Below are 22,488 nucleotides of genomic sequence, written 5' to 3'. Positions count from 1 at the left end.
ATCCCCTCCCTGTTGGGTCCCCGGCCTGTCTATCCCCTGATCCTCGGAGAAAGGGGTGAAGAGGAGGGAGTCTAAGTGCATGGGGGCAAGGAACTGTCCACTTCCCTTTCCAGGTGAGCCAAGCTTGACTGGGGCAAGCACCTATCGGCAACGGTCTGAGAATACTCACCACCAACAATCCTAATAACTCAGTCTTAACAAGGATAAGAGCAAAAAAAAAAATATGAACAGCCTCATGAATATCAGCCCAAGGGGAGCAGGAGTGAGCTGTTCAGAGATGAAAGTGCACAGAAATAAAAGCTCAATTTAATCTGCTTTAAAACCCTTCAACTTAACGTTTGTGCTTCAAACTCTGAGAGTGAGAACTGATTGCGGATAAATAGTTTCTTACCATGCCTGGAAGCTATTACACCCCTCTCCAACACAGTTTCCTATTCAGCAGTCCCAGTTTTCATTACCAGCTCTAATAAGTCTTAACATTATTAAATGCCAAGCGGACGATAGGAAAAAACGGACTCAGGGAGGGATCTCTCTTTAGTGCTTAAAGAGGAGAGCTCTTAAACCCCTTCTTTGGTGGCTCCCTGCCATGAGAGGGGCAACTCCCCCAGAGAAAGCATTTTTCAAGAGCAAGAAGCCAAAACAAAGTTGTGGGTGTGCACAACTCCCCCTGCTCTGGCCATGGGGCATCTCTGCCTCTCCCTACCTGGATTACTCGGATGGAGATTGGAAGGTCTTTTCACCTTTAACTTGGACATGAAACTGATGTCTGGGGCCTGGAAGAGAGATGAGGGGTTCACAGGGGTGCCTGCCGACCAGCCCAGGAACTCAAATAGGAAACGGATACAATTTGCTCACAGATGGATAGATGGCCCTCTCTCATCTGCACCATCATATTGCCCATTCACACCCATCTACACACTCCCTGCACATCTATGCTGAATCCCATTTGCACAGATATATGGCCTACAGCATTCAGATCAGAAGGCCCGTGGGTAAACAGTCACACTAAGAGATGCTTGCGCTTACACAGCCATTCAAAGCACAATCAGCGCACCCAGCACACCCACTGTCACGCAAAAACTGCGGGACTTTCTGGAGACCAGGCTCACTGCATAAGATCATTTCATTTCTTCAGCTCCTCTAGACTTAGCACCTGTGTCCTCAGCCTCCCCCATCTGGCACAGGCTCCACTTTAAACCCTTGGAGACGTGGTTCTTCCTGGTTCTGCTGCAGGGAAAACCTCTATCCAGCAAAGTGGCTTGTTAGCTGGTGTGGTGAGCACAGGCCAGCATGGAACGCCCCGCATTCCCTGGAATCAGAGGAATCCTCCAAACCGCACGATCTTTCCATCCTCTTCCTTTCCTTCCCTTCCCTTTTTTCTCAGAGGAAATTTACCTATTTGTGCTTCCTCACAGATTGAACTGGATATACTCCCTGCGTGCAAACACAATTAAAGTCTCTCCAAGGAAAACCAAACCTCCTCTGCTTCTCCCTGGGATAACCTCAGAAGAGTTGTTTGTTGTGCAGGAAAGATTATTTGTCCAGGAAAGATTATTCGAGTTCTATGCCTCCCCTCCACAACCCACAAAAAGTCCATCTAGTCTCCTTCCAATGGGAACTGAAATAAGGACTGGGTCCCCCGGCAGGTGTCCCAGGGCTCTGGGCCGACTGGCCTAGCCAAGGACCGCTTGGCAGTGCAGGGCTGCCTCCCGCCGCAGACCCGTGGCCCCTCGGCAGGCCGGGCACAGCGGGGCGCCCGGCACAGCTGGCTCCCTTTCTTCCCTCGCCCTTTTGTCCCGGGCGGGACTGCGGCATCACTAGGGGCCCTGTCTGTCAATGGCCGCCCCTTCCCTTCGCTCCAGGCCGCTGTCACACGGGGCTGCCCGGCCACCCATCCTTCCTCCTCGGACCACGCCTGTGGGGGCTGGGCGTAGATGGGAGTTGTCTTAGTAAGCCGGCTTTGTCTGTGAAGTTCATCTTCAAGGTTGGGAGGGTCTTCTGAGAACTGGAGAGAGACCTGGGCTAGGAGTGCTTGGGTCGTGAGGAGAGGGGTGCTGGGAGAAACCTCTGAAGGGAGACTGAAACAACACTGGCTTTTTGCAAGCTTTCAGGTTCCAGGGCACTCGCCACTTTTTCCAAAGCCATCAGTCTGCGGGTTCCCATGGCCACTGTCTTTCCGATTCCCTCAGCCTGCCGCCTCTCCGCGTATGTGTTTGGGGCCTTTTCTTTAACTGTCAGTCTTTGTGACTCTGGGTCTTCCATTTCTGTTTCTCTCCCTGTCGCCCCTTAACGTGCACTTACCAAGTCTCAAAGAGACTTAGGAGGGGAATTATGAGGGCAATGAGGAAGGGGAGGGGGTAATGAGGAAAAACTTTCCCTTCCTTCTCTCGAAACTTCCTCCCGTCAAGAAACAAAAGCACAATCCCCTTTCCCGGGCTTCCGGGCGCTTGAAAACTAAACGCCCTCCTTAGCTGATCCTGAGAAAAAGCATGGCGCAGGACTCAGACTCCAGCCTGCCCGCGGAAGCCGTGCTAAGAATGGGGAGAGGGTGTGTGGAGCCTGGGTCTCTCCCCCACTGCGATCCTCCGACCCTGGGCATCTGGGAACTTGGCCTCCACTCCCAGCCCTGCCGGCGCACGCCACAGAGGAAGGCACTCTCTGTCCCCCAGTCCGCCCTGGCAACGCGGGGCTGAGTCAGGCGGCGGCCCTGGCTAATTTTTATTGATTGCAGCGGTCAGTCAACTGTCAGGCGGGGTTTCAAGGGACCGTTTAGAGAGCGTGTGGGGGTCTGGTTAACAAATTCATTTAGGGAGCCGCGGGCCGGCTCCTCCTTCCTCTCTCCCTCCCTCCCGTCCCCCGCCCCCTTGCCCAAGTTTCCTATAAATAATTGATCGACGCCGAGAGTAGCAGCCAAAACGCCAGCCCGGGAGGACGCACTCCCCGCAGTATTGGGGTAGACCAGGCGCGCAGCCCCGCAGCCGGGCTCTCCCGGGACTCACAGGCCGTCCGTGCCCGGCCTCCATAGCGCAAAGAAGGCGCGGGCTTCGCATCTAGCCGGCATCCGGGGTGCGCACCGAGGGGGCGCTGTCGGCAAAGCCTGAGCGGCTCCCAGCTGCCCCGCAGCATGAGAGTTTCTCCGCTGGAGTTCTGGTCGCCTGCTCCGGCGGCGGGAGCGAACCACTGGCCCGCACACCGGAGCGTGGGAAAACCCGGGCTGGGGCCTCGCAGCCCAGGGAAGTTCCCTACCTTTGTCGCCCAGGATGCCGTCGATGCTGTGTTTGGCCTTCTTTTCGCCGTCGTCCTCCTTCTTGTCCGCTTCATCCTCCTCCTCTTTCTTCCCGAACTTGATTCTGAGCACGCGGCTAATCGAACTCACTAAACCTCAGAAATTCAAAGGCAAAAGAGCAAGTATAAGTTGTTGGAGCAGAGGAGCGAGCGGTGGCCTGGGCCCCTGGGAGAAAGTCAGGAAGCCCCCTGCTTCCTTACAGATATCCATTCATCCCTCTTCCACACACAGGCATTTAGGCATTGACACGTACTCCATAACCAGCATCCACTTGGAGAAGCCTGACTCACACCCCGGGCACTCACAGGGTGGTTAGACTGTGCATTTCTATGCAGATGCTTGCATGCATTCGTGCCTTACACTAACACCTGCCTAGGTGCACTTCCACCCACACCCCCGAGAGGTCCCAGGGCCTCTCTGGAGTCTCTCCAGCTCCTGCTGCCACTCCCACACTCAGGTGTGCATTCTGGCCCTGCGTGCCTGAATGCACATGTACACACACACACACACATACACACACACACACAACAGATCACTTTCTCTCTCACAGGCAGTATGGTTTGGGACCTCCAAATTTAGGACTCAAATGGCTGGTGTTGGCGACAGCAGAAATCATAACTCTGAGACGGTGGTCTAGGGAAGCCCATGGGCATCCACCCTCCTAGGACAGATCCATCTATTGAAGCCATTTTCTCCGAAAAAGCCTCCAGGGGGGCTCTCTTATCATCCAGCTTTCTAGGTTAACTTTTTGCCCATTCCTGCCTGCCCACCTGCCTGCCTGCTTTCCTTCCTTCCTTCCTTCTTTCCTTCCTTCCTTCCTACCTTCCTTCCTTCCTTCTTCCTCCCTTTCTTATTTCTCTCTCCTTTCTTAACTTTTTTTCTTTCCCTATTCCTTCTTTCCATCTTATTCCATTCTGTTTTGATTTACTCCTATGCCTTAACTCTGCCTTTCTGTACTCCTTTCCTCCCAACTTCTCAGTAAGTTCACAGTCAGCCATCATCTCCTCTCCCCTCTCTCCCACCTCCAGCCCTCCACACTGGACCCCTGGCCACACTCTGGGCCAGCTCTGCCGGCTCAGCTGCCTTCTCACCTGAGGGCACAGTGCTTCGGTCACAGTGCCCATCCTTCAGCAGCCTGTCCCGGATCTCCCAGCTGAACATGCCTGGGTTTTCCCTCTTGTACTCCTCAATCTTTTTCTCTACATCCGGAGTCGCCACCTGCTTCAGAGGTGGAGGTGGGAGAGTAGGAGTGGAAAGATGGGATGGGGGGAGGAAAATACTTTTAATATCACCTCTTAAGAGCCCCAGACCAGGCTGGTGGTTCTGGTTACCTTGTGTCCCCCCATCCCCCAAGAGATTGGCTTTATCCTTTCAAGAAACCGGTTCCTGGCTCCCAGGAAGGCAGCTGGGGGTCTGGCCAGGTGGGGTGGGGTGGGACATGGATAGGCAATAAAAAACTCTAATTAGGACCCCCAGGGTCCCCGTCATTATCTCAGGAAAGACTGAGAGAAGATGTCTTCTGGTCTTGGAAGGTGACAGGGGTTGAGGCAAATGTGGGGACAGTCCAGGAATGGCTCATTGGCCTCAAGGTCTTGCACAACCTAGACCTCACTTAGCTCCATCTCTGAGAAATTCAAATAATAGGAAAACAATGGGAGGACATCTGGGAGTAGAAGACACCCTCCAGCTGTACTTTCCTACAGCCTGGTGCCACGAGGTAGTAAGAGGGGCCACAACCAGGAGCCCCCGACTATAGGAAGCCAGCTGCCAGCCTCTGTGGCAAAGACACTCACTCTGGGCTTGCTGCCGCCGATGGCCCCAGGCCGGATGGACCCGGTCTCCTGGTAGCGGCAAAGAATCTTGGAGACGCAGCCGTGGGAGACACGCAGCTGTCGGGAGATGACACAGGGCCGGATGCCATGGTGGGCCATCTCCACTATCTTGTGGCGGATGTGGTTAGGCAGGGGTCGCCCATTGATGAAGACCCCTCCCAGCTGATTGACCCGGCCTTGGCCAAGCGGGGTGGACACTGGAGAAGGGAGGGGAGATGCAGAAGGAGAGAGGTGCAGGGTGAGGATGGAGAGCAGACACTGAGTACACTCCCTGACTCCAGTTTTGTTTGTTTGAGCCCCAAGACCTCAGACAGCAATCCCGGTGGTCCTCACACTGGGGCTTCGGTAGGTAGGTAGTTTGAGAAACAACTGTCATAAATCTAGGAAATCTCCTGCAGAGATGGATAGAGGAGTCACAGCTGCAAGAGTCTCCCCAGATGCTGTGTCCCCCAACTCCTGCCACACTACGAGGGATGAGGACACACCTGGGGGATTCGAATGCTGCTAAGAAGGGGAGGGAGAGAGATGAAGATGAGACTGCAGACAGAGCCACCAGGCTGGTAGAGCCTTAGAGATCTTGGGACCAATGACTATCTGTCCCTCAGGCCGAAGCTTGGGCTGCAGGCCTGCCTGCGTCTTGGAGAGGCCAATAACGGGTGTGATGTGGCTCATCTGCTCAGTTCTACGCTCCTGGTAGTCATGAATGATCCAGTTTGTTGGGGGCTAGAAAGGCCTGGCTGATTACTACATTTACAGCTCTGGCTAGAGCCGTGGAACTGTCCCAGGGAACAGCTGAGGCACAGCCGAGGGACGGGTGACATATGCTGTTGGCTGCTGCCTCCAAGGGCACCTGGTTGTCCCTTGGGTGACTCTCCTTGCTTCTAACCACCCTCGAAGTCCTAATTTCGTTTTGGGACAATTTTAGGACACTACTGCCCCAAAGCTCCTAAATTAAATAGTCGACTTGGCCTCACAAATCCATGAACTGTGCCTGCAGGCTCTGCGAGGCTGGTAGGCAGATGGGACACAGTCCCCCCGGGTGGGGGTGACTTTGGGAACCGGGAAGACAGGCATCACTGGTGTGTGCTGGGGAGGGGAGAACGCCTGGTTGCCTTAATGCAAAGTCTACACAATTTCCTCACAGAAGATTGGGGGGACACCCAGCGCACTAATCCGGCCTCGATCCCCCCAATTTGGGGACTCAGCGGCTGCGGAGATCTGGAAGATTAGAACGATTTCACAGCCGCGGGAGTGGAGGGAGCTGACTGTAATTGAAAGGGAGGAGGCGAGAAGAGGCTCCGCTGCTGGGCCGTTCCTACCGCCCCCTCCCTCGCTCTCCCGGTCCCCCCACCTCTCTTTGTAAAAGTCGGTGTCTGAAGCCACTCTCGGATTTAATCAGAAATCGTGCGTCGCAAAGTCGGAGTCACTCGGTCTCCGTGGCGGGATATGCCATTAGCGCTCAAGAGCTCTCGAGCGCCCAACTTTATATTCAAGAGCCTCTTTAGCGACCGGCACTCGGCTCTCCTCAGTATTCTGCGTCATGTTGGGCAAATATTGTTCTAATCCGCCGCGCGTCCTCAGCCGCCTGTTTTACTTGCATTCGCTACAGGAGAGTGCCACTGCAAATCCCCGGGTTTGCGCGCTCTCCCGCCTGCGTGGCTGCCGGCGCGCACTTGATCACGGAGCCGCTCTCTTCGCCTCTGTCTAATTCAGGGACCCGGCGCCGTCTCGCTGCCCAAGGGAGCTCCTCCCGGATCGCAGGCTGCCAGCCCACCCACCCCCTCCCTGCCTCCTCTCCCCTTCCTCACGCGCCAGGGACTCAAACGATCACAGGAAGAGTAATTTAAAAAAAAAAAGTCGCACATATTTCTAATGACTTCTCTGTGACACCCTAGGCTACCTACCCTCAGAAGCCAAATGATCCCTCAGTGACAGGTTGAGGCCTTCCATTAGTTTAAAAAGAAAACAGAACAAAAACACAGGAGCGGGTCTCTCCGCTGTGCGCTCCCAGCCTTTTCTCCAGCCAGGACCCGGTTCGCCGCCGCCCGTCCTATCGGGTCTCCCCGGGCGGGCGCTGGATGTTTAGGAAGGACGCTTTACAAAATCAGCTCTTTCTTCTCGTTTGGACATTGCCGTGCCCCTCTCGCCGTTTAGAGGTTCTCTAAACCTCGCCGTTTAGAGGTTCTCTCCCGGGAGATTTCCAGAGTGCGGAAGCCCGAGTAAAAAGTTTTAGGGGGAAAATCATTACTAATTATTATTTCCAATTAGTTTGTTTCCAGGCGGAAAAGCAGGAGTGTTTGACTGTGGCTTCGGAAGAAATGGATAGCCGTGGTAGTTGAGGCATATAAAGTATCACCCATGGTAGGTGGTTCGAAATAAAGGACTGGAAGACCAATCCCGGGGGTGGAAAAAATAATTCAAAACAAGAGTAGAAAGCTGGCAGCCAGCGAGCCAGGAGAGCCGAGAAACTGTCAGGGAAGAAGTGTCTGGAAATAGTGGAAAGAGCTGAAATTCACCAGGACCTGATATTTACTAGGAGTCCAAATCTACCAGAATTTCAGCCCTGCGGGTAAAGACCGGCAGCTAGCGACCTGCGAAACGAAGGCCGCCGGGCAGTGAAACCCACGCAGAAGCGGACAAGTATGGGTCCCAGAAACTCCCTGGGTTCCGCGCCCGGACTGGGACCCAGAAGAGAACGGGATCCCTCTGCTATCGCCGGCGCCGCCACCGTCCCCTGGAGACCGCAGCCTCTCCAAGGACCCCGAGTTCCGGGCGGCGGAGTCGCGGCGAGGCCAGCCTGGGCGTTCTTACCTTCCAAAGGGAATCCCGTGCGGGGGTAGTTCTGCCCCGGAGCCGGCCGCATCATTCTCGGTACCGTGCCGGGAAGGGCCGCCATTCTTGCGCACGCCGGGGACGAATCCAAAGTCGGCAAAAATCGCTTCCCGTCCGCTCCCTTCACCCCTGCTGCGATCTCTTTCTTTCCGTCTTCTTCGTCTTCTTTTTTTTAACCTCTTCTCCCTCCCCTCCACACACACTCCCTACCCCCACCCCCCACCCCTGGCTGCAGTCAAACGCGTCCAGAAGCTGGGGAGGGGGGTGAGGTGGGGTGGAGGTTGGGGGGAGGGAAGGTGGCGACGACGAGGAAGTTCAAACAAACAAACACTCCAACCCCAAGTCCGCCTCTGCCGGCTGGCCTCGGCCAGAAGTTGTGCGGGCTGATGCGCCTGGCAGAACCCGGAGACCAGGCCCCGCGGCGGAGGGGGGCCGGGGGAACGCGGCCGGAATCGAGGCCGCCAGCCTCAGAGTGGCGAGCGCCGCGCTCTCGCGCTCTGGCGCTCTGGCGCTCGGGGCCAAAGTTTCCGAGCCCGGAGACTGCGGAGTGGATTTCGTTCTCGTATTTATTTATATATTTATTCTCTCGCTCTCGCTCCCTCCCTCTTCTCCACGCCTTCTTTCTCCGGACCACACTCGCTTCTCCCTCCACACCAGCTTTCACAGCCCCGTCCCCTAGGAGACCCGGGGACAGACGGAAGAAGGAGCCTCCTCGGGTTTCAGGGCTGGACGGAGGAGACAGGGGGTGACGGGGTTGGGGAAAGAGAAATGGAAAAGCGAGGGGGCGCGAGTGATCAGCTGGGTAAGTTGTGCAAAAGTGTTCACCGAAGTACGAGGAGGAGGAGGAGGAGGAGGAGGAGGAGGCAGTGAGCGCGATCTGATAGGTTCGGACTTTTCTTTTATTCATGAGGAGGGAAGGGGGCCAGGGCGCAAGGGAGCGGAGGACCAATAACGAAAAGAAATCGCCAACGAATATTTTTTTCCCTCTTTTCTAATCCCCGGCTCGACCTCGTTTTGGGGGAGAATTTGAACCGCCGTGAAAAGAGAGGGAGCCGATCCCGGCGAGTTGGGGGCTGGGGGAGAAGGGGAGGGGGCCAACTTTGTCCCAGTGCCTTCCTTTGATGAATGGGCCGGATCCGCCGAGTCCCCGGCCCCCAGGTCGCCCACGGCTGCTCTCGGAGTCCCGGCTGTATGGGAATGTCTGCCTCGGGTCCGGCGCCTCTCTGGAGTCTCGCCTTTTCTCTGGCCTCCGAGGGCCAGAGTCCGCCCTATTTCTCATCTTCTCCCTCGTCTTACACCCTCTGAAATTCCTCCAGTGAGGCTCCCCGGGAACCGGCCTAGGGTGACTTGAAGGGAGGAATTCTGACCTTTTCTGTGTAATGTCAGAGCCCCGGTGTCCGGTTCTTACTCTACCTTCCTGCCGCTCTGAGAAGCCCCCAGTAACCGTATCTGGTTCCGAGGCTTGGCAAAGTGGGTCTGCCAAGTGCTAGGCACAGGTTTCTTCCTCCCCTTCCAGTTCCGCCCCGTGCAGACGTCTCCAGCCGCCGCCGTCCTCCTCAGGCCCCCAGGCCGGGCCTATAACTCCTTTCCAGCAGGTAGTTGGGTTTACAGGGAGTTGGTGCTGGTGTGAGGATCTGGGGGCCCAAAGAGGTGGGAAATGGGAGGGAGGGAGCCCGTCAAGACTTGATACAGCTCTGAACTCACCAACTCTGAGCTCCTTGCTGGTGGGTTTGAGGGGACGCCCCAACTGAATGATCAGGAGTCAGGGTGGGGTGATCAGAGGTTCCTGAATTCTTCGCTTTCTGAAGCCAGGGTGACCAGTAGCCTCAACCTCGGGACACCGAGTCCTGGGGGCGAAACGCCCTCCCAGCGGGGCAGGACGCCACAACTGCAGGCCTTTTGTCTCCCGGGGGAAAGAGCGTCTCTGGCCCCACGCTGGAGGCAAAATACAATAAAATGAACCCAGCCCTCAATCTCACCCCCTGCCCGCCCTCTCTCGGCAGTGGGGTCAGCCTTGTCTTAGCCTGGGGCGCTCACCGCTGGCTGGCCCCAGGGTGTCCCCATCCCTCCCCTTCGCCTCACCTGTGACCTTTGCCCCTTGCAGCATGTGACAGATCTCCCTCCTCTCCCCACTCTCCTAGCACAAGGGGCTCATCAGATTTTGGGGGGGCCTTCTGGGAATGGGGGCCCTGATGAAAAACTTGTTGAGCTCATACTCTCTCTAACTGAGAAGACAGATGCCAAGTAGCTTTCGAATTGGAAGGGGGACACCGGGGTACTTTGCCTGGCCCAAGTTATGGGGCCCTCCCCCGGGAGAGATTGGGAGATCAAGCTTTAAGCCATAGCATGTGTGCCCAGGGAAGACAGCAACCCCCTTACATCACCAGCCTTGCTGGGGACCTGGCCTGCTTTGACCTCCATAGGTGGATATATATTCTCTGTGTGTATATATACATGTATTTGTATCATATACACTTATGCATACACACGTATAACACACACACATATATATTAGGTATATTGCATATTCATCCATTCATTCGTCACTAGCTGTCCTCTGCCTGGAAGGTTTCAAGGCACTTCTTCCCTGTATTTGTGGAATGGGCCAGTGTGCTTGCGTGTGAATATAGGCCTGTGCCCGGGTCTGTGTGTCAAGGTGCAGGTGGGTTTTGTGTGTAGGTCTGTTTGGGGTCAGTTTGAGTAAATGTGTGTTTCTAAGTGAGGGTCCATGTCTGTATTTCTGCTTTGAGGTCACCTCCAGGTTGCCTTGGTATGGCTCTAAGCGCGCGTCAGGAATGTGTGAGTGTGTGTTTAGGTCAATTCTCAAGTGAGAAAAGACCTCCAGGGTGTGCCAAGGGTGGGAGGCTCCCTCTCTTCTGGCCAGTGCTCATGTAGCATCTTGAGCTGAGTGGGGCGAGTGCATAGCTGGACACTTCTGCTGCCAGGGACCCTCAGAACCTCAGGAGTCCTGCACTGGGGCCACCTTGCCCACAGTGTGGTCCCTCACCCTCCCTGCAAAAGACTCACAGTAGTGGGTGCAGTAGCGACACAGGCCCCCAGGGTTTCTGCAGCTCCGGGATTCCATGGGCCCTTGCAGAGGGAAGGGTTGAGGTGGGGTTGTCTATTGGAATGAGCGTGGCCGTTCTTGCCTGTTGGAGACCAATTTCACAAATGATTTTTGCAACAATTAAGGAGTGTGGTGGGGTGAAATGGCGATTTCACATCCAGCAGGGGAAAGGGGGGTTCACCTGGGAACTGTGGCTGGGGATGGGGGAGAGCCGCGTCCCCTCCTCTTGTTTCCCTTTGCTTACCCCCTTGTCTAGAAAAAGTCACCCCCATGCAGGCTTAATCAACTCCTAAGACCTCCAGTTGCTGCTGGGAGGGTGTGAGGGCTTCTGAGTGTGTGGGCTGGGCCAGACTTGTTCCAGAAAGTTTTCCTTTAGCCCTTGACCCCCTCTTTCTATCCCTGTCTCTCCTCACCCTCTTTCACCCTCTTTCTCTCTGTCTCTCTCTCACACACAAACATTTTTCCTGTCTCTCTTTCCCCCTCAGTCTATCTTATGGTCTCCTCCATCTGTTTTGTTCTTTTGGTCTCTCTTTCTCTTTTCCTCCTTGCCTTTCTGGCTTCACCCCAGCGGCTTTTCTCTGGGACTGTCTGTCTTGTCACCGCCTCCCCCATCTCCATGGTTTCCTGAGGTATGTATGGGCCTCCATTGCTCTCTGGGCTGTAACTCAGACCTGAATCCCTGGGAAGATCCTTTGGTCCAGATGAGGTTGGCTAAAGACCTTGGGGAAGAGATCCTCCTTCTCTGCTTGGTCTTGGGGTGCATCTCCCGGCCCGGCCCAGCCCAGCCCACTAATCCGCCAGGAATCATTCCCGTCTCAGTGTGGTCTGGCTTGGATGATTGTCTCCTATCTCTAGCTCACCCCGTCTGGTCTGAAATCTCTGCATTCCTCCTTTTCCCTTTTCTTAAAGGCAACAACAATGCTAATAGGAATTCTTCTTCCCAAGTTTCCAAGTGGCATCTTCCAAACCCAATTTGGGTTTGGAAACGGGAGAGAAATAAGTAGGCCCAAGGTACAGAAGCAAGACCCCAGCTTGAGTTTAGCTGGGGAAACTTGGCCTGTCTCTGGCTGCTCCCTCCCAAGACATAGGCCACAAAGAGGCTCCCTCCTCCCTGCATCCAAGTGGCCAACAGCCTCTTCCCTCAGCCCGAGGGAGAGGACGCTCTTTATTTCAGTCCCCTGTGTCATGAGCACTTTTGGAAAGTGATTACCCAATAAATATTCCTTTAAAGGGTGATAAATCCACCTTGAAAACCAGGGGTTTTTATTTCATTGGGGGCCTTTGCATTTTCAGAGGCTCTGGCCTGCTCTGCTAGAGGAGGCCAAAGACATCAACAAATGGAATTACTCAGTCTTCAAATGTTTGATAATGAGAGAGGAGGGGGTGGGCGTGGGGGTGGGGAGGGAAACTGAACATCCAGGAACAAAGGACTCTCAGGAGTCTCCTTCCAGGTTTCGGAGGCTGGAATTCCTCAGCGCTACATTTCCAAGAGGCACCGACCTTTTATTATTATGCTTTTCTTTTAAGAAGTGGCACTCTTCTAGGGGTGAGCTTGAAATAATCTGCCCAAACCTGAATAGAAACAAAAAGGAAAGTTGATAGCTTGCTTGACATTTTCATTTTCCCCAGAAAAATGGAATAGTATGCACTGGATTCCAGTTCTCAAGAACTGGGCAAGAACAACATCACTAAAGATACAACAACAGTAATAATAACCAGGTTTCTCTCAGGCCTACTGCTAAGTGGGCTCTCGAGTGAGCCTCCTCCCTTTTTTCTTCCTGGTCTTCTTCCTTCCTCTCCTTCTCCTCCTCTTCCTCTCTTCCTTCACCCTTTCTCTTCCTCTTCCTTCCCTTCCTTTTCTGTTTTCTCTTTCTCCTCTGTTTTCTTCCTCTTCCTCCCCTTCCTTTTCTGTTTTCTCTTTCTCCTCTGTTTTCTTCCTCTTCCTTCGCCTCCTCCTCCTCTACACCTCTTTTTTTTTTTTTTTTTTTTTTTTTTTTTGAGACAGGGTCTCACTCTGTCACCCAGGTTGAAGTGCAGTGGTGTGATCTTGGCTCAGCGCAGCCTCTGCCTTCCAGGTTCAAGCAATTTTCCCACCTCAGCCTCCCGAGTAGCTGGGATTACAGGGACCCCCCACCACACCTGGCTAATTTTTGGATTTTTAGTAGAGATGGTGTTTCACCATTGTTGGCCAGGCTGGTCTCGAACTCCTGACCTCAGGTGATCCAACCACCTCAGACTCCCAAATTGCTGGGATTACAGGCATGGGGCACTCTTCACCTCTTTTCCTTCTCTTCCTTGTGTTCTCCTTCCTCCCCTCCTCATCCTCCTCTTCTCCCTCTCCCTCTTTCTCCTTCCTCCATTCTTCCTTCTCCTCCCTGTTTCTTATGTCTCCTCTTTTTCTCCTTCTCTTCTTCTCCTTCCTCCTTTTCTCCTCCTCTCTGCTTTCTTTTCCTCCATTTCTCCCTTCATCTCCTTCTCAGGCTGGTCCTGGGAGCCTTTTACCTCTCAAGGTTCTGGAAATAAAGACAAGCAAGGCTAAAGCTTAGAGAGAGACCCAAGACGGGCCAAGGTGCTTCTCCCACTTCTCTTCCTTCTCCTCTCTGCAGTTTCCTCTCCTATTAATGCTTTTCTACTGGCTTTCAGAGATGCGGTTGAAGCCATCTTTACAGAGTGTTCCCTGATATCTGTAAAAGCCTTTTCCTCTCTGCCCGTGTCTGGTAATCCCTCTTTCCTTTCCATTTCTCAAGTGGAAAAAGAACCTTCCCAGGAGGAAGAGAATACCCCTCCTCCCCTGCCAGCCCGCCCCAGTCTGGTCCCAGTGGTTTAAAGGTAATGGATTGGGATGAAGGTATATTGGGATACGTTCATATGAATATGTGAAGCTGAGGGCATGTGTGCACCTATGTAAGAGTATACAAGAGCCTGTACACAAGAGAGTATGAGTGCGCCTACATATGTACTTATGTGCATGTGTGTACACACGAGTGCATATGCTCATGCAGAGATGTGAGGTAGGGCGTGTGTAACAGGAATTTCTCTCTCTTGGCACCCTTTGGAAGCTTCGGGAGGAAAGCCTCCTCCCAAACTCCCAGTTGCCGGAACAAAAGACCAAGTGTCAGACGGTGTCGAGGCACCTTCTCCAAGTTCAATTTGCACCAAGTCCAGCATTAATGGGTTGTAGACATTGCCCTTGGACAATTACCTTATCACAGTGGAGCATCTGTGGGACCTTCAAAGCACTTTCATTAAACAATCAAAGGGATGTGGTGAGCCCAGCACTGGCCGGCCTGGAGCTCCAGGCTGTGCACAAGTTCCAGGGAAGCCCACAAGCCCAGGTGAACTTTCCCTCCAGGCCCCCAGGCTTTCTCAGGGCTGAGGCAGGATGGGAATAAGATGAAAAGATCAAACGCTGCCTGTACTCCACCTTAGATTGGCTTGTTGAGACGAGGAAGCTGATGGAATTGAGTTTTCTTGCTTGCAAGTCTCCTGCTTCCTTCTCTCCCTGGGGATCTCCCTCCTCTATCATGGTTCACTCCATGCAGAGGGGTCTTTCCTCTCCCACATGCAGGAGGAGCATACGGATGGACTTGGTAGAAGCTTATGGAAGCTCCACAGGGACAAGGGTACTTGTTCTGTGTATTCATTGCTGTATACTATATACCATAGTAGATGCTCAGTAAACATCATTGGGTGAATGAATGGATGAATGAATTATCCTAGCACATTGAACCTTGGCTTGCTCTCTATGTGCTAAGGTTTCCTCATAGGTTAACTGGAGACTTGTCCCTTGGAGCACCACGAGGGTGCATGGCCATATAGGCATGGTGAACAGTGCTCCAACAGAACTCAAAACATGGTGATCTGTACTGTCCTGAGGAGCAGGGATGAGTTGGGGGAAAACGCCTAGCGTCATGGTTGGTCTACAGTTGGTTGGCAGTCAACGCAAGCTGGCTTCCTTGTTTCCCACTTCCTTGATAGTTGGCCACTGGGATTTTTTTTTTTGTATTTATCTCTGCAATTCTGGGACGGAGCTCAGTGTCTGAAAGAACACAGATGGTGCACAGTAAAGAGCTGAATGATCTTGAAGTTGGAAGCTTATGTTACTCTTTGACCTTGGGCACTCACGTTTATAACTAGAATTTTTGAATGCCCACTCTGTGCCACACAATTGACAGTAAGCCTGCTTAATCTCAAAGCTACCCCAAGTAGGAGATAGCAGCATCTCTATTTTACAGAGGAAGAAATAGACTCAGGGAGGCTCAGAGAGGAGTCCAAGGTCAAAGAGTTATCAGATAGCATGGAAGAGATTTTTCTTTTCTTTTTTCTTCTTCTTCTTCTTCTCCTTTTTTTTTTTTTTTGAGATGGAGTCACATTCTTGTTGCCCAGGCTGAAGTCCAATGGTGTAGTCTCGGCTCACTGCAACCTCCGCCTCCCCCGTTCAAGCGATTCTCCTGCCTCAGCCTCCCAAGTAGCTGCGATTACTGGTGTGAGCCACCGCGCCTGGCCGGGAAGATATTTTTCACTTAGGCCTCCTAGATTTCAAAGCTCTTTTTTGCTTCTGTTTCTTCTCTTGCAGCATCAGTTTCTCTTTTGTAAACCAGATGATCTTCAACACTGAGCACAGAGACTGGTGCATGGTGGGTACTCAGCGGTGTTATTAAATGAATGAATGATTGAATGACGGAATGCAGCTGAAACATTCTGATGACTGTGAGATTTTAGATACTGCCTTGGGAGTCCTGGTGGGGGTGTGGGACTGTAGGATCAGAGAATGTTACTGCCAGGAAGCAGCATTTGACATGCCCTTGCTCAAGGATTTTGCAGCTTAGAGAGCCTCACTTGCTTTCTGGGAGTTCTGGGGAAGCCAGAGAGGCTTTTGCTGGGCCAGAAGGTGCTTAGCCTGGGGAAGGAGGTGGCCAGTCTAGGGGTACTCAGGAGCCTCTGGCGGGTGCCCGGTCTTCATTGAAATGTATAGATGGAAGTGAGAATGCACTGCATATTTGTCTAGGTGAATTAAAAGCACAATCCCCATTTCCCAGAGGGAGCAGTTGGTTCATATTTATACATTTAGTCTTACAGGTGTAAAATAGGTTTCCTTTATGCTTATATAATAATTTTTCATTTGAATTTCAAGGCTTTATTCCCTTCTTTGGATTCAAGTCTTCCACCTGAACCCGATTCTCTCCATAGCCATTAATTCCTTCATCATAAAAATGAATTCCATCTAATTCTCTATAGTGGCAGTTAGAGCAGATCAAAAAGTACCTTTGCAAAGGGCTCCCCCCGCTTCTACCATTGTAGTTTCCAGCTCGCCTGAGTACCCACGCCCCTACCAATGCTGAGTTTCAGAAACCAGGGCTTGGAGCAGAAAAACTTATTTCTCTCATCAGAAAGGGTCATGCGCTTGCATGTGGGTGTGTGTGTGTGTGTGTGTGTGCCCTCATGCACATGTTGGCACCCACAGGTGCATTGTAGAAAATGCTCCTCACTTTCAGAAAGGTAGCAACCACAACAACGATAATAATGATGGGCCGGGGGCGGTGGCTCACACCTGTAATCCCAGCACTTTGGGAGGCCAAGGCAGGTAGATCACTTGAGGTCAGAAGTTCTAGACCAGCCTGGCGGGGCACAGTGGCTCACTCCCGTAATCCCAGCACTTTTGGAGGCTGAGGTGGGTGGATCACCTGAGGTCAGAAGTTCTAGACCAGCCTGGCCAACATAGTGAAACCCTGTCTCTATTAAAAATAAAAAATCAGCTGGGCATGGTGGCGCATGCCTGTAGTCCCAGCTACTCGGGAAGCTGAGGCAGGAGAATCTCTTGAACCTGGGAGGCGGAGGTTGCAGTGAGCTGAGATCGTGCCACTGCACTCCAGCCTGGGCTATAGAGTGAGACTCTGTCTCAAAAAAAAAAAAAAAAAGAAGTTCTAGACCAGCTTGGCCAACATGGTAAAACCCCACCTCTAGTAAAAATACAAAAATGAGCCAAGTGTGATGTCACACACCCGTAATCCCAGCTACTTGGGAGGCTGAAGCATAAGAATCCCTTGAAGACAGAGAATCCCGGGAGACAGAGGCTGCAGTGAGCAATGATCATGCCACTGCACTCCAGCCTGGGCAACAAGAGTGAGACTCTGTCTTAAAAAAATAATAATCATAATGGTAACTCAGTACTCACAATGAGCCGGACGCTGTGTTAGGCATGTTCCATTCATTATATTATTTAATTCTCATACAAATCCATGGAGTAGATATTGGCATCCTTATATGACAGATGAGGAGATAAAGGTCCCGAGATGTGAAATAAATTGCCTAGGGTTGCATAGCTAGGAGAAAGCAGGCCTTAAAATTTTAAACTTTAAGTTATTTATTTATTTTAATAAATGTTTACCATTAACTATTTAGGGACAGAGTCAACACCATCGAGTACCCCTTCCCTGCCTCAGTCCCTTTCTTCTCTCCCCGGAAGGAAGCACACTCCCTAAGGTGGCATCTGTCGTTTCTCTACATTTTGTAGTAGCCTGGATAACGGCCCTAGAAATATCAGTTCTTAATCCCTGGAACGTGTAAGTGTTACCTTCAAATGAAAAAGGGTCTTTGCAGATGTGACTAAGTTACAGATCATGAGATGGGGAGATTATCCTGGATTTTCTTGGTGGCCCCTAAATGCAATCACAAGTGTCATTATAAGAGGGAAGAAAAGGGAGCTTTGACACAGATGGAAGAGAAGGTAATGTGGCCATGGAGGCAGAGACTGGGTGATGTGGCCGTAAGTCTAGGAATGCCGGCAGCCACTAGAAGCTGGAAGAAGCAAGGGAGGGATTCTCTTCTGCAGCATCCAGAGAGAGCGCGTTCTGCTCACCTGACACCTTGATTTCAGCCCCGTGATAGTAATTGAGGACTTCTGACCTCCAGACCATGAGAGCATAATTTTTTGTTATTTTTAGTCACCAGGTTTTTAGGAATTTGTTACAGCAGCCATAGGAAACGAATATACATGCTTTTATAATTTTTTTTGGAGACAGGTTCTCTGCCGCCCAGGCTGGAGTACAGTGGCACACACACGGCTCACTGCAGCCACCACCTCTCCGGCTCAAGCGATCCTCCCTTCTCAGCCTCTCAAGTAGCTGGGACTACAGGCACACACCACCATACCCGGCTAGTTTTTAAAATTTTTTGTAGAGACATGGTCTTGCCGTGTTGCCCAGGCTGGCTTTGAACTCTTGGGCTAAAGTAATCCTCCTGCTTTGGCCTTCAAATTGCTGGGATTACAAGCATGAGCGACTGCTCCTGGCCCATATTTTTTACTACATATGTATATTAAAATAAACAGTTTTTACAGTTTATGTAACAGTATACTTTAGGCATCATTCTGAAACTTCTCTTGCTCAACATCATGTTTTCGAGATTATCGTTATTGACCCAGGTAATGTTGGTTTCAAAGAAAGAAAGAGTCTCACTTGCTGGGCAGATGCAGTTGGATTCTGAAGGATATTGGAGTTGCATCTGCAGAATGGGCTCTGCAGGGCAAATGCAGGGTTGGCTCTGGCTGCCACGTTCTTTTTTGTTGTTGTTGTTGTTTTGAGATGGAGTCCCACTCTGTCACCCAGGCTGGAGTGCAATGGTGCAATCTTGGCTCATTACAACTTCCACCTCCCGGGTTCAAGTGATTCTCCTGCCTCAGCCTCCCAAGTAGCTGGTATTACAGGTGCCTGCCACCACACCCAGCTAACTTTTGCATTTTTAGGAGAGATGGGGTTTCACCATGTTGGCCAGGTTGGTCTTGAACTCCTGACGTCAGGTGATCCGCACGCTTTGGACTCCCTAAATGCTAGGGTTACAGGCATGAGCCATGGCACTTGGCCGCTGGCTGCCATGTTCTGAAAGGGTAGGGCCACACCCACTCTGACTGCACCTCCAGGTACGGGGACTCAGCTGAACACAGGTTTGCCATGTGTCAGGAAGGCCGGGTTTGTTAGGGACCCAGTTTCATGTGAACCGAGGGATTCTGTGTCTCTAAGACCTTGGAGAGTCAAGAGGTTTCAAGCCATGGAAGAGAAAGATACGCTAGCCGGGCGCGGTGGCTCACGCCTCTAATCCTAGCACTTTGGGAGTCTGAAGCGGGTGGATCACCTGAGTTCAGGAGTTCGAGACCAAACTGACCAATATGGTGAAACCCCTCTATTAAACATACAAAAATTAGCTGGGCATGGTGGCATTCATCTGTAGTCCCAGATACTTGGGAGGCTGAGACAGGAGAATTGCTTGAACCCAGGAGGCAGAGGTTGTAGTGAGCTATGATCGTGCCACTGCATTCTATCCTTGTCCACAGAGCGAGACTCTGTCTCAAAAAAAAAAAAAAAAAGACACTCTAAAGGAAAACTCAAATGGAGGTGAGAATGCATGTGTGTGTATGTGTGTGCATCTGTGGATCAGTGTGAGCTCCTCGAGGTCACAGACAGTCTTGTCTCCCACAGGACCTGGAAAACTGTGAATATCTGTTGAATAAATGAAAACAATTTGTGGGAATGGGAAGGGGGGTTGGCAATCCATCCTGTAAATATAAGTATCTGACTATATATGACTGTTACAGGTTGTAAGATTGAAAGTGAATTAATGGCTATATTCCGAGAATTCATCTAAGAAGGTGCCATGTGTGCCTTTGTCAAAGGTAAACTGTCAGTTTACAGTTATGGAGTCTTCATGTCCATGTTTTTTAAAAACCTTGGCTCTCTTCTTGATACTGCATGGTATGGAGGCAAGCTGTTATTATCCCCAGATGAAAGAAACCTGGGGACTAGTGTGGTGAAGGGGTTTTCTGGTGTCATAAAACAAGCATGTGGCAAAGCCGGGGTTAAACCTGGTGAGTGGGGCTCAGGAAGAGGACACAAGTTTTGAAATCTGACAAGCTAAATTTTAATCTTGGCTTCAATCCTCAGGAGCTGGGTTTCTTGGGGCAAGTTACTTAACCTCTCTGAACTTCCATTTCCACTTTTAAGAAATGAGCACAGTGATACTTAGCTTGTGGAGATTGCTGCAGAGATAATAATGCATGTAGAGCGGCTGGCACTTAGCAGGGCTCAGTAAGGGGCATCTCTTATCTTTTATCCTCAATTGAATATTATTTTTCCTCTTGCAGTCCTAGGCTATAATCTACATTCCGCCAAAAATTATCAGGGAAATTTAGAGAAGCAAGCAGCCAAACCAGTTGGCTGGCATCAACTGTTATCACCAGGGGGCTTGAGTTATCCCTTTTTGGGGGTCATTGGGGCGTGATGACCTATGACCTGTGACCTTATGAGGCAGCCAGCAGGGGTAGGAACCCAGTGGATTTGGGGGTCATCTTAGACTTCTGAAAAGACCTGATAGACCACTTTCCAATCTGGGGTTTTTCATTACGTAGGGGACAGTAAATCAAAGAGACTGCCCCAGGCTGCAGACTTAAAAGGGCCCAAGGCTGGTGGAGCTGGGCAGGGAAGATGCTGAGGGGGAGGAGACTATGGCTCCCCTGGCTGGGATCTGAGGCAAACAAAGTGACACGCGGTGGGGAAGATAAAACACCGAAAATAAAATTGACAGCAAATGGCACACTAGATTAAATGCTTTCAATGCCTCTGCTGAAAAGGGTTAATATCTTTGCTATATAAAGAGCACTTGCAAATCAATATGGATGATGAACAATCTCTGGGCAAAGGACATAGACAGGCAATTTATGAAAGACATACTCGAGGGCTGGTAGTATATGAAAAATGGTCTGTCTTACCAGAAACCTCAAAGAAAAGCAAATTAAAACAATGATATGCCATGCCCCGCCTATCTAAGTGGCAGTTGTGAAGGGGAGAATGGTACTATCAGGATGACTGAGAGGTCTGGAACGTGTGACTCACATACTGTGTGGCAGAGTAAATTACTGTGCTTTCTGAAGGGCAATTTAGCAAGTATGTATCAAAAGCTCTAGAAATGTTTAGAACCATCCTTAGTACATCACTGTATGCCTAGGAATTTACCACGCATATGTGCAAAGATATAAGTACATCACAATATTTTTTTCTAATAGGGAAAACTGGAAAAAAGTAAACATTCCTAACAATAGGATATTGACAGATATATTATGAAACATCCATATAATGGAATACTCCAGGCCATTGCAAGGACACATAATAAGAGGCAACAATGTGTAATGTTTCTAGGCTATAACCCATATTCCACCAAAAATTTAGCTTCATGCTAGCAACCATCCTAAATGACTTACATAGATTAGCTCATCTAATTCTCCTAACAACTGTTTGTGATAGGTACAAATACTATCATCCCAATTATACTGGTGAAGAAACGGAGACACTCAGAAGTTAAGTAACTTGTCCAACTTCCCTTATCTGGTAAGTGGCAGACGCCAGTGTGAATTCAGGTAGTTTGGCTTCAGAGTCTACATACATGTTCTTTTTGTTTTTTGAGATGGAGTCTCGCTCTTCCTCCCAGGCCGGAGTGCAGTGGCGCGATCTTGGCTCACTGCAAGCTCCGCCTCCCAGATTCACGCCATTCTCCTGCCTCAGCCTTCCGAGTAGCTGGGACTACAGGCGCACACCACCATGCCCGGCTAATTTTTCTTGTATTTTTTAGTAGAGTCAGGGTTTCACCATGTTAGTCAGGATGGTCTTGATCTCCTGACCTCGTGATCCACTCGCCTCGGCCTCCCAAAGTGCTGGGATTATAGGCATGAGCCACCGCGCCCGGCTACATACATGTTCTTTATTTTTATTTTTATTTTTTTGATACAGGGTCTCACTCTGTCACCCAGGCTGGAGTGCAGTGGTGCAATCACAGCACAGTGCAGCCTCCACCTACCTGTGCTCAAGTGATCCCCCAACCTCAGCCTCCCGAATAGCTGGGACTACAGGTGTGCCTCATCATGCCCAGCTAAATTTTGCATTTTTTGTAGAAGTTGTGGTTTCACTATGTTGCCCAGGCTGGTCTCGAATTCCTGGGCTTAAGCGATCCGCCTGCCTCAGTCTCCCAAAGTGTTGGGATTACAGGTGTCAGCCACTGCACCTGGCTGAGTCTATGTTCTTTTTTTTTTTTTTTTTTTTGAGACAGTTTCGCTTTCGTTGCCCAGGCTGGAGTGGAGTGCAATGGCACGATCTCGGCTCACCACAACCTCTGCCTCCTAGGTTAAGTGATTCTCCTGTCTCAGCCTCCTGAGTAGCTGGGATTACAGGCACGTGCCACCACGCCCAGCTAATTTTGTATTTTTAGTAGAGATGGGGTTTCTCCATGTTGGTCAGGCTGGTCTCGAACTCCCGACCTCAGGTGATCTGCCCTCCTCGGCCTCCCAAAGTGCTGGGATTACAGGCGTGAGCCTCCACGCCCGGCCATGAGTCTACTTTCTTAATGGAACTATCCTATCCCTTGAAATTTGTACCTGGAAAAATTTCATGACCTGCAAAAGTATTCATGAAACATTGAGTGAAAAAAAG

The 22,488-nt window shown here is 51.2% G+C and overlaps 1 protein-coding gene across 3 annotated transcripts in view, besides 13 other annotated features; it reads right to left on the bottom strand.

The window, feature by feature from the left end:
* Window positions 1-8,772, bottom strand: part of PAX7 (paired box 7) — a 118,021-nt gene extending 109,249 nt beyond the window's left edge. For 2 of the 3 annotated variants that reach the window (NM_001135254.2, NM_002584.3), the window contains exons 1-4: window positions 7,930-8,772; window positions 5,080-5,315; window positions 4,378-4,507; window positions 3,247-3,381 (exon numbers count right to left, since the gene is read on the bottom strand). In NM_001135254.2, coding sequence (NP_001128726.1) covers window positions 3,247-3,381; window positions 4,378-4,507; window positions 5,080-5,315; window positions 7,930-8,014 — 586 coding nt within the window. In that variant the 5' untranslated portion in view covers window positions 8,015-8,772. The remainder of the gene's footprint in view (window positions 1-3,246; window positions 3,382-4,377; window positions 4,508-5,079; window positions 5,316-7,929) is intronic. The other variant, NM_013945.3, reaches the window with a different exon arrangement.
* Window positions 1,816-2,433: an enhancer, noted in NCBI's record as "H3K4me1 hESC enhancer chr1:18963679-18964296 (GRCh37/hg19 assembly coordinates)". NCBI's record gives its function as "activates a minimal SCP1, AML or CMV promoter by ChIP-STARR-seq in primed H9 embryonic stem cells {active_cell/tissue: H9 hESC(primed)}" and the evidence as "EXISTENCE:reporter gene assay evidence [ECO:0000049][PMID:30033119]".
* Window positions 2,434-3,050: an enhancer, noted in NCBI's record as "H3K4me1 hESC enhancer chr1:18963062-18963678 (GRCh37/hg19 assembly coordinates)". NCBI's record gives its function as "activates a minimal SCP1, AML or CMV promoter by ChIP-STARR-seq in primed H9 embryonic stem cells {active_cell/tissue: H9 hESC(primed)}" and the evidence as "EXISTENCE:reporter gene assay evidence [ECO:0000049][PMID:30033119]".
* Window positions 3,051-3,668: an enhancer, noted in NCBI's record as "H3K4me1 hESC enhancer chr1:18962444-18963061 (GRCh37/hg19 assembly coordinates)". NCBI's record gives its function as "activates a minimal SCP1, AML or CMV promoter by ChIP-STARR-seq in naive H9 embryonic stem cells {active_cell/tissue: H9 hESC(naive)}" and the evidence as "EXISTENCE:reporter gene assay evidence [ECO:0000049][PMID:30033119]".
* Window positions 5,828-7,441: an enhancer, noted in NCBI's record as "VISTA enhancer hs1702". NCBI's record gives its function as "enhancer in: midbrain (mesencephalon)[6/8]" and the evidence as "EXISTENCE:transgenic organism evidence [ECO:0001131][PMID:17130149]".
* Window positions 5,828-7,449: a biological region, named in NCBI's record as "PAX7 intron homotypic clusters of transcription factor binding sites enhancer".
* Window positions 5,896-6,431: an enhancer, noted in NCBI's record as "H3K4me1 hESC enhancer chr1:18959681-18960216 (GRCh37/hg19 assembly coordinates)". NCBI's record gives its function as "activates a minimal SCP1, AML or CMV promoter by ChIP-STARR-seq in primed H9 embryonic stem cells {active_cell/tissue: H9 hESC(primed)}" and the evidence as "EXISTENCE:reporter gene assay evidence [ECO:0000049][PMID:30033119]".
* Window positions 5,936-7,449: an enhancer, noted in NCBI's record as "NRF1 and E2F4 HCT region in PAX7 intron, chr1:18831250-18832763 amplified region (NCBI36/hg18 genome assembly coordinates)". NCBI's record gives its function as "activates a Hsp68 promoter in transgenic mouse embryos {active_cell/tissue: diencephalon}" and the evidence as "EXISTENCE:transgenic organism evidence [ECO:0001131][PMID:20363979]".
* Window positions 6,558-6,761: a conserved region, noted in NCBI's record as "conserved region; HCT with multiple E2F4 binding motifs". NCBI's record gives the evidence for it as "EXISTENCE:sequence alignment evidence [ECO:0000200][PMID:20363979]".
* Window positions 6,689-6,929: a conserved region, noted in NCBI's record as "conserved region; HCT with multiple NRF1 binding motifs". NCBI's record gives the evidence for it as "EXISTENCE:sequence alignment evidence [ECO:0000200][PMID:20363979]".
* Window positions 7,989-8,265: a promoter, noted in NCBI's record as "-149 promoter fragment". NCBI's record gives its function as "minimal promoter in A673 cells" and the evidence as "EXISTENCE:reporter gene assay evidence [ECO:0000049][PMID:10839462]".
* Window positions 7,989-8,899: a promoter, noted in NCBI's record as "-781 promoter fragment". NCBI's record gives the evidence for it as "EXISTENCE:reporter gene assay evidence [ECO:0000049][PMID:10839462]".
* Window positions 7,989-9,088: a biological region, named in NCBI's record as "PAX7 promoter region". NCBI's record gives its function as "regulatory_interactions: PAX7".
* Window positions 8,303-9,088: a promoter, noted in NCBI's record as "BamHI/NaeI fragment spanning -403 to +373". NCBI's record gives the evidence for it as "EXISTENCE:reporter gene assay evidence [ECO:0000049][PMID:12234688]".

This window comes from Homo sapiens, chromosome 1 (assembly GCF_000001405.40).
Source record: "Homo sapiens chromosome 1, GRCh38.p14 Primary Assembly".
NCBI lineage: Eukaryota > Metazoa > Chordata > Mammalia > Primates > Hominidae > Homo > Homo sapiens.
The sequence above is the reverse complement of the archived record's forward strand: the minus strand, read 5'-3'. Positions and strand labels throughout refer to the sequence as shown.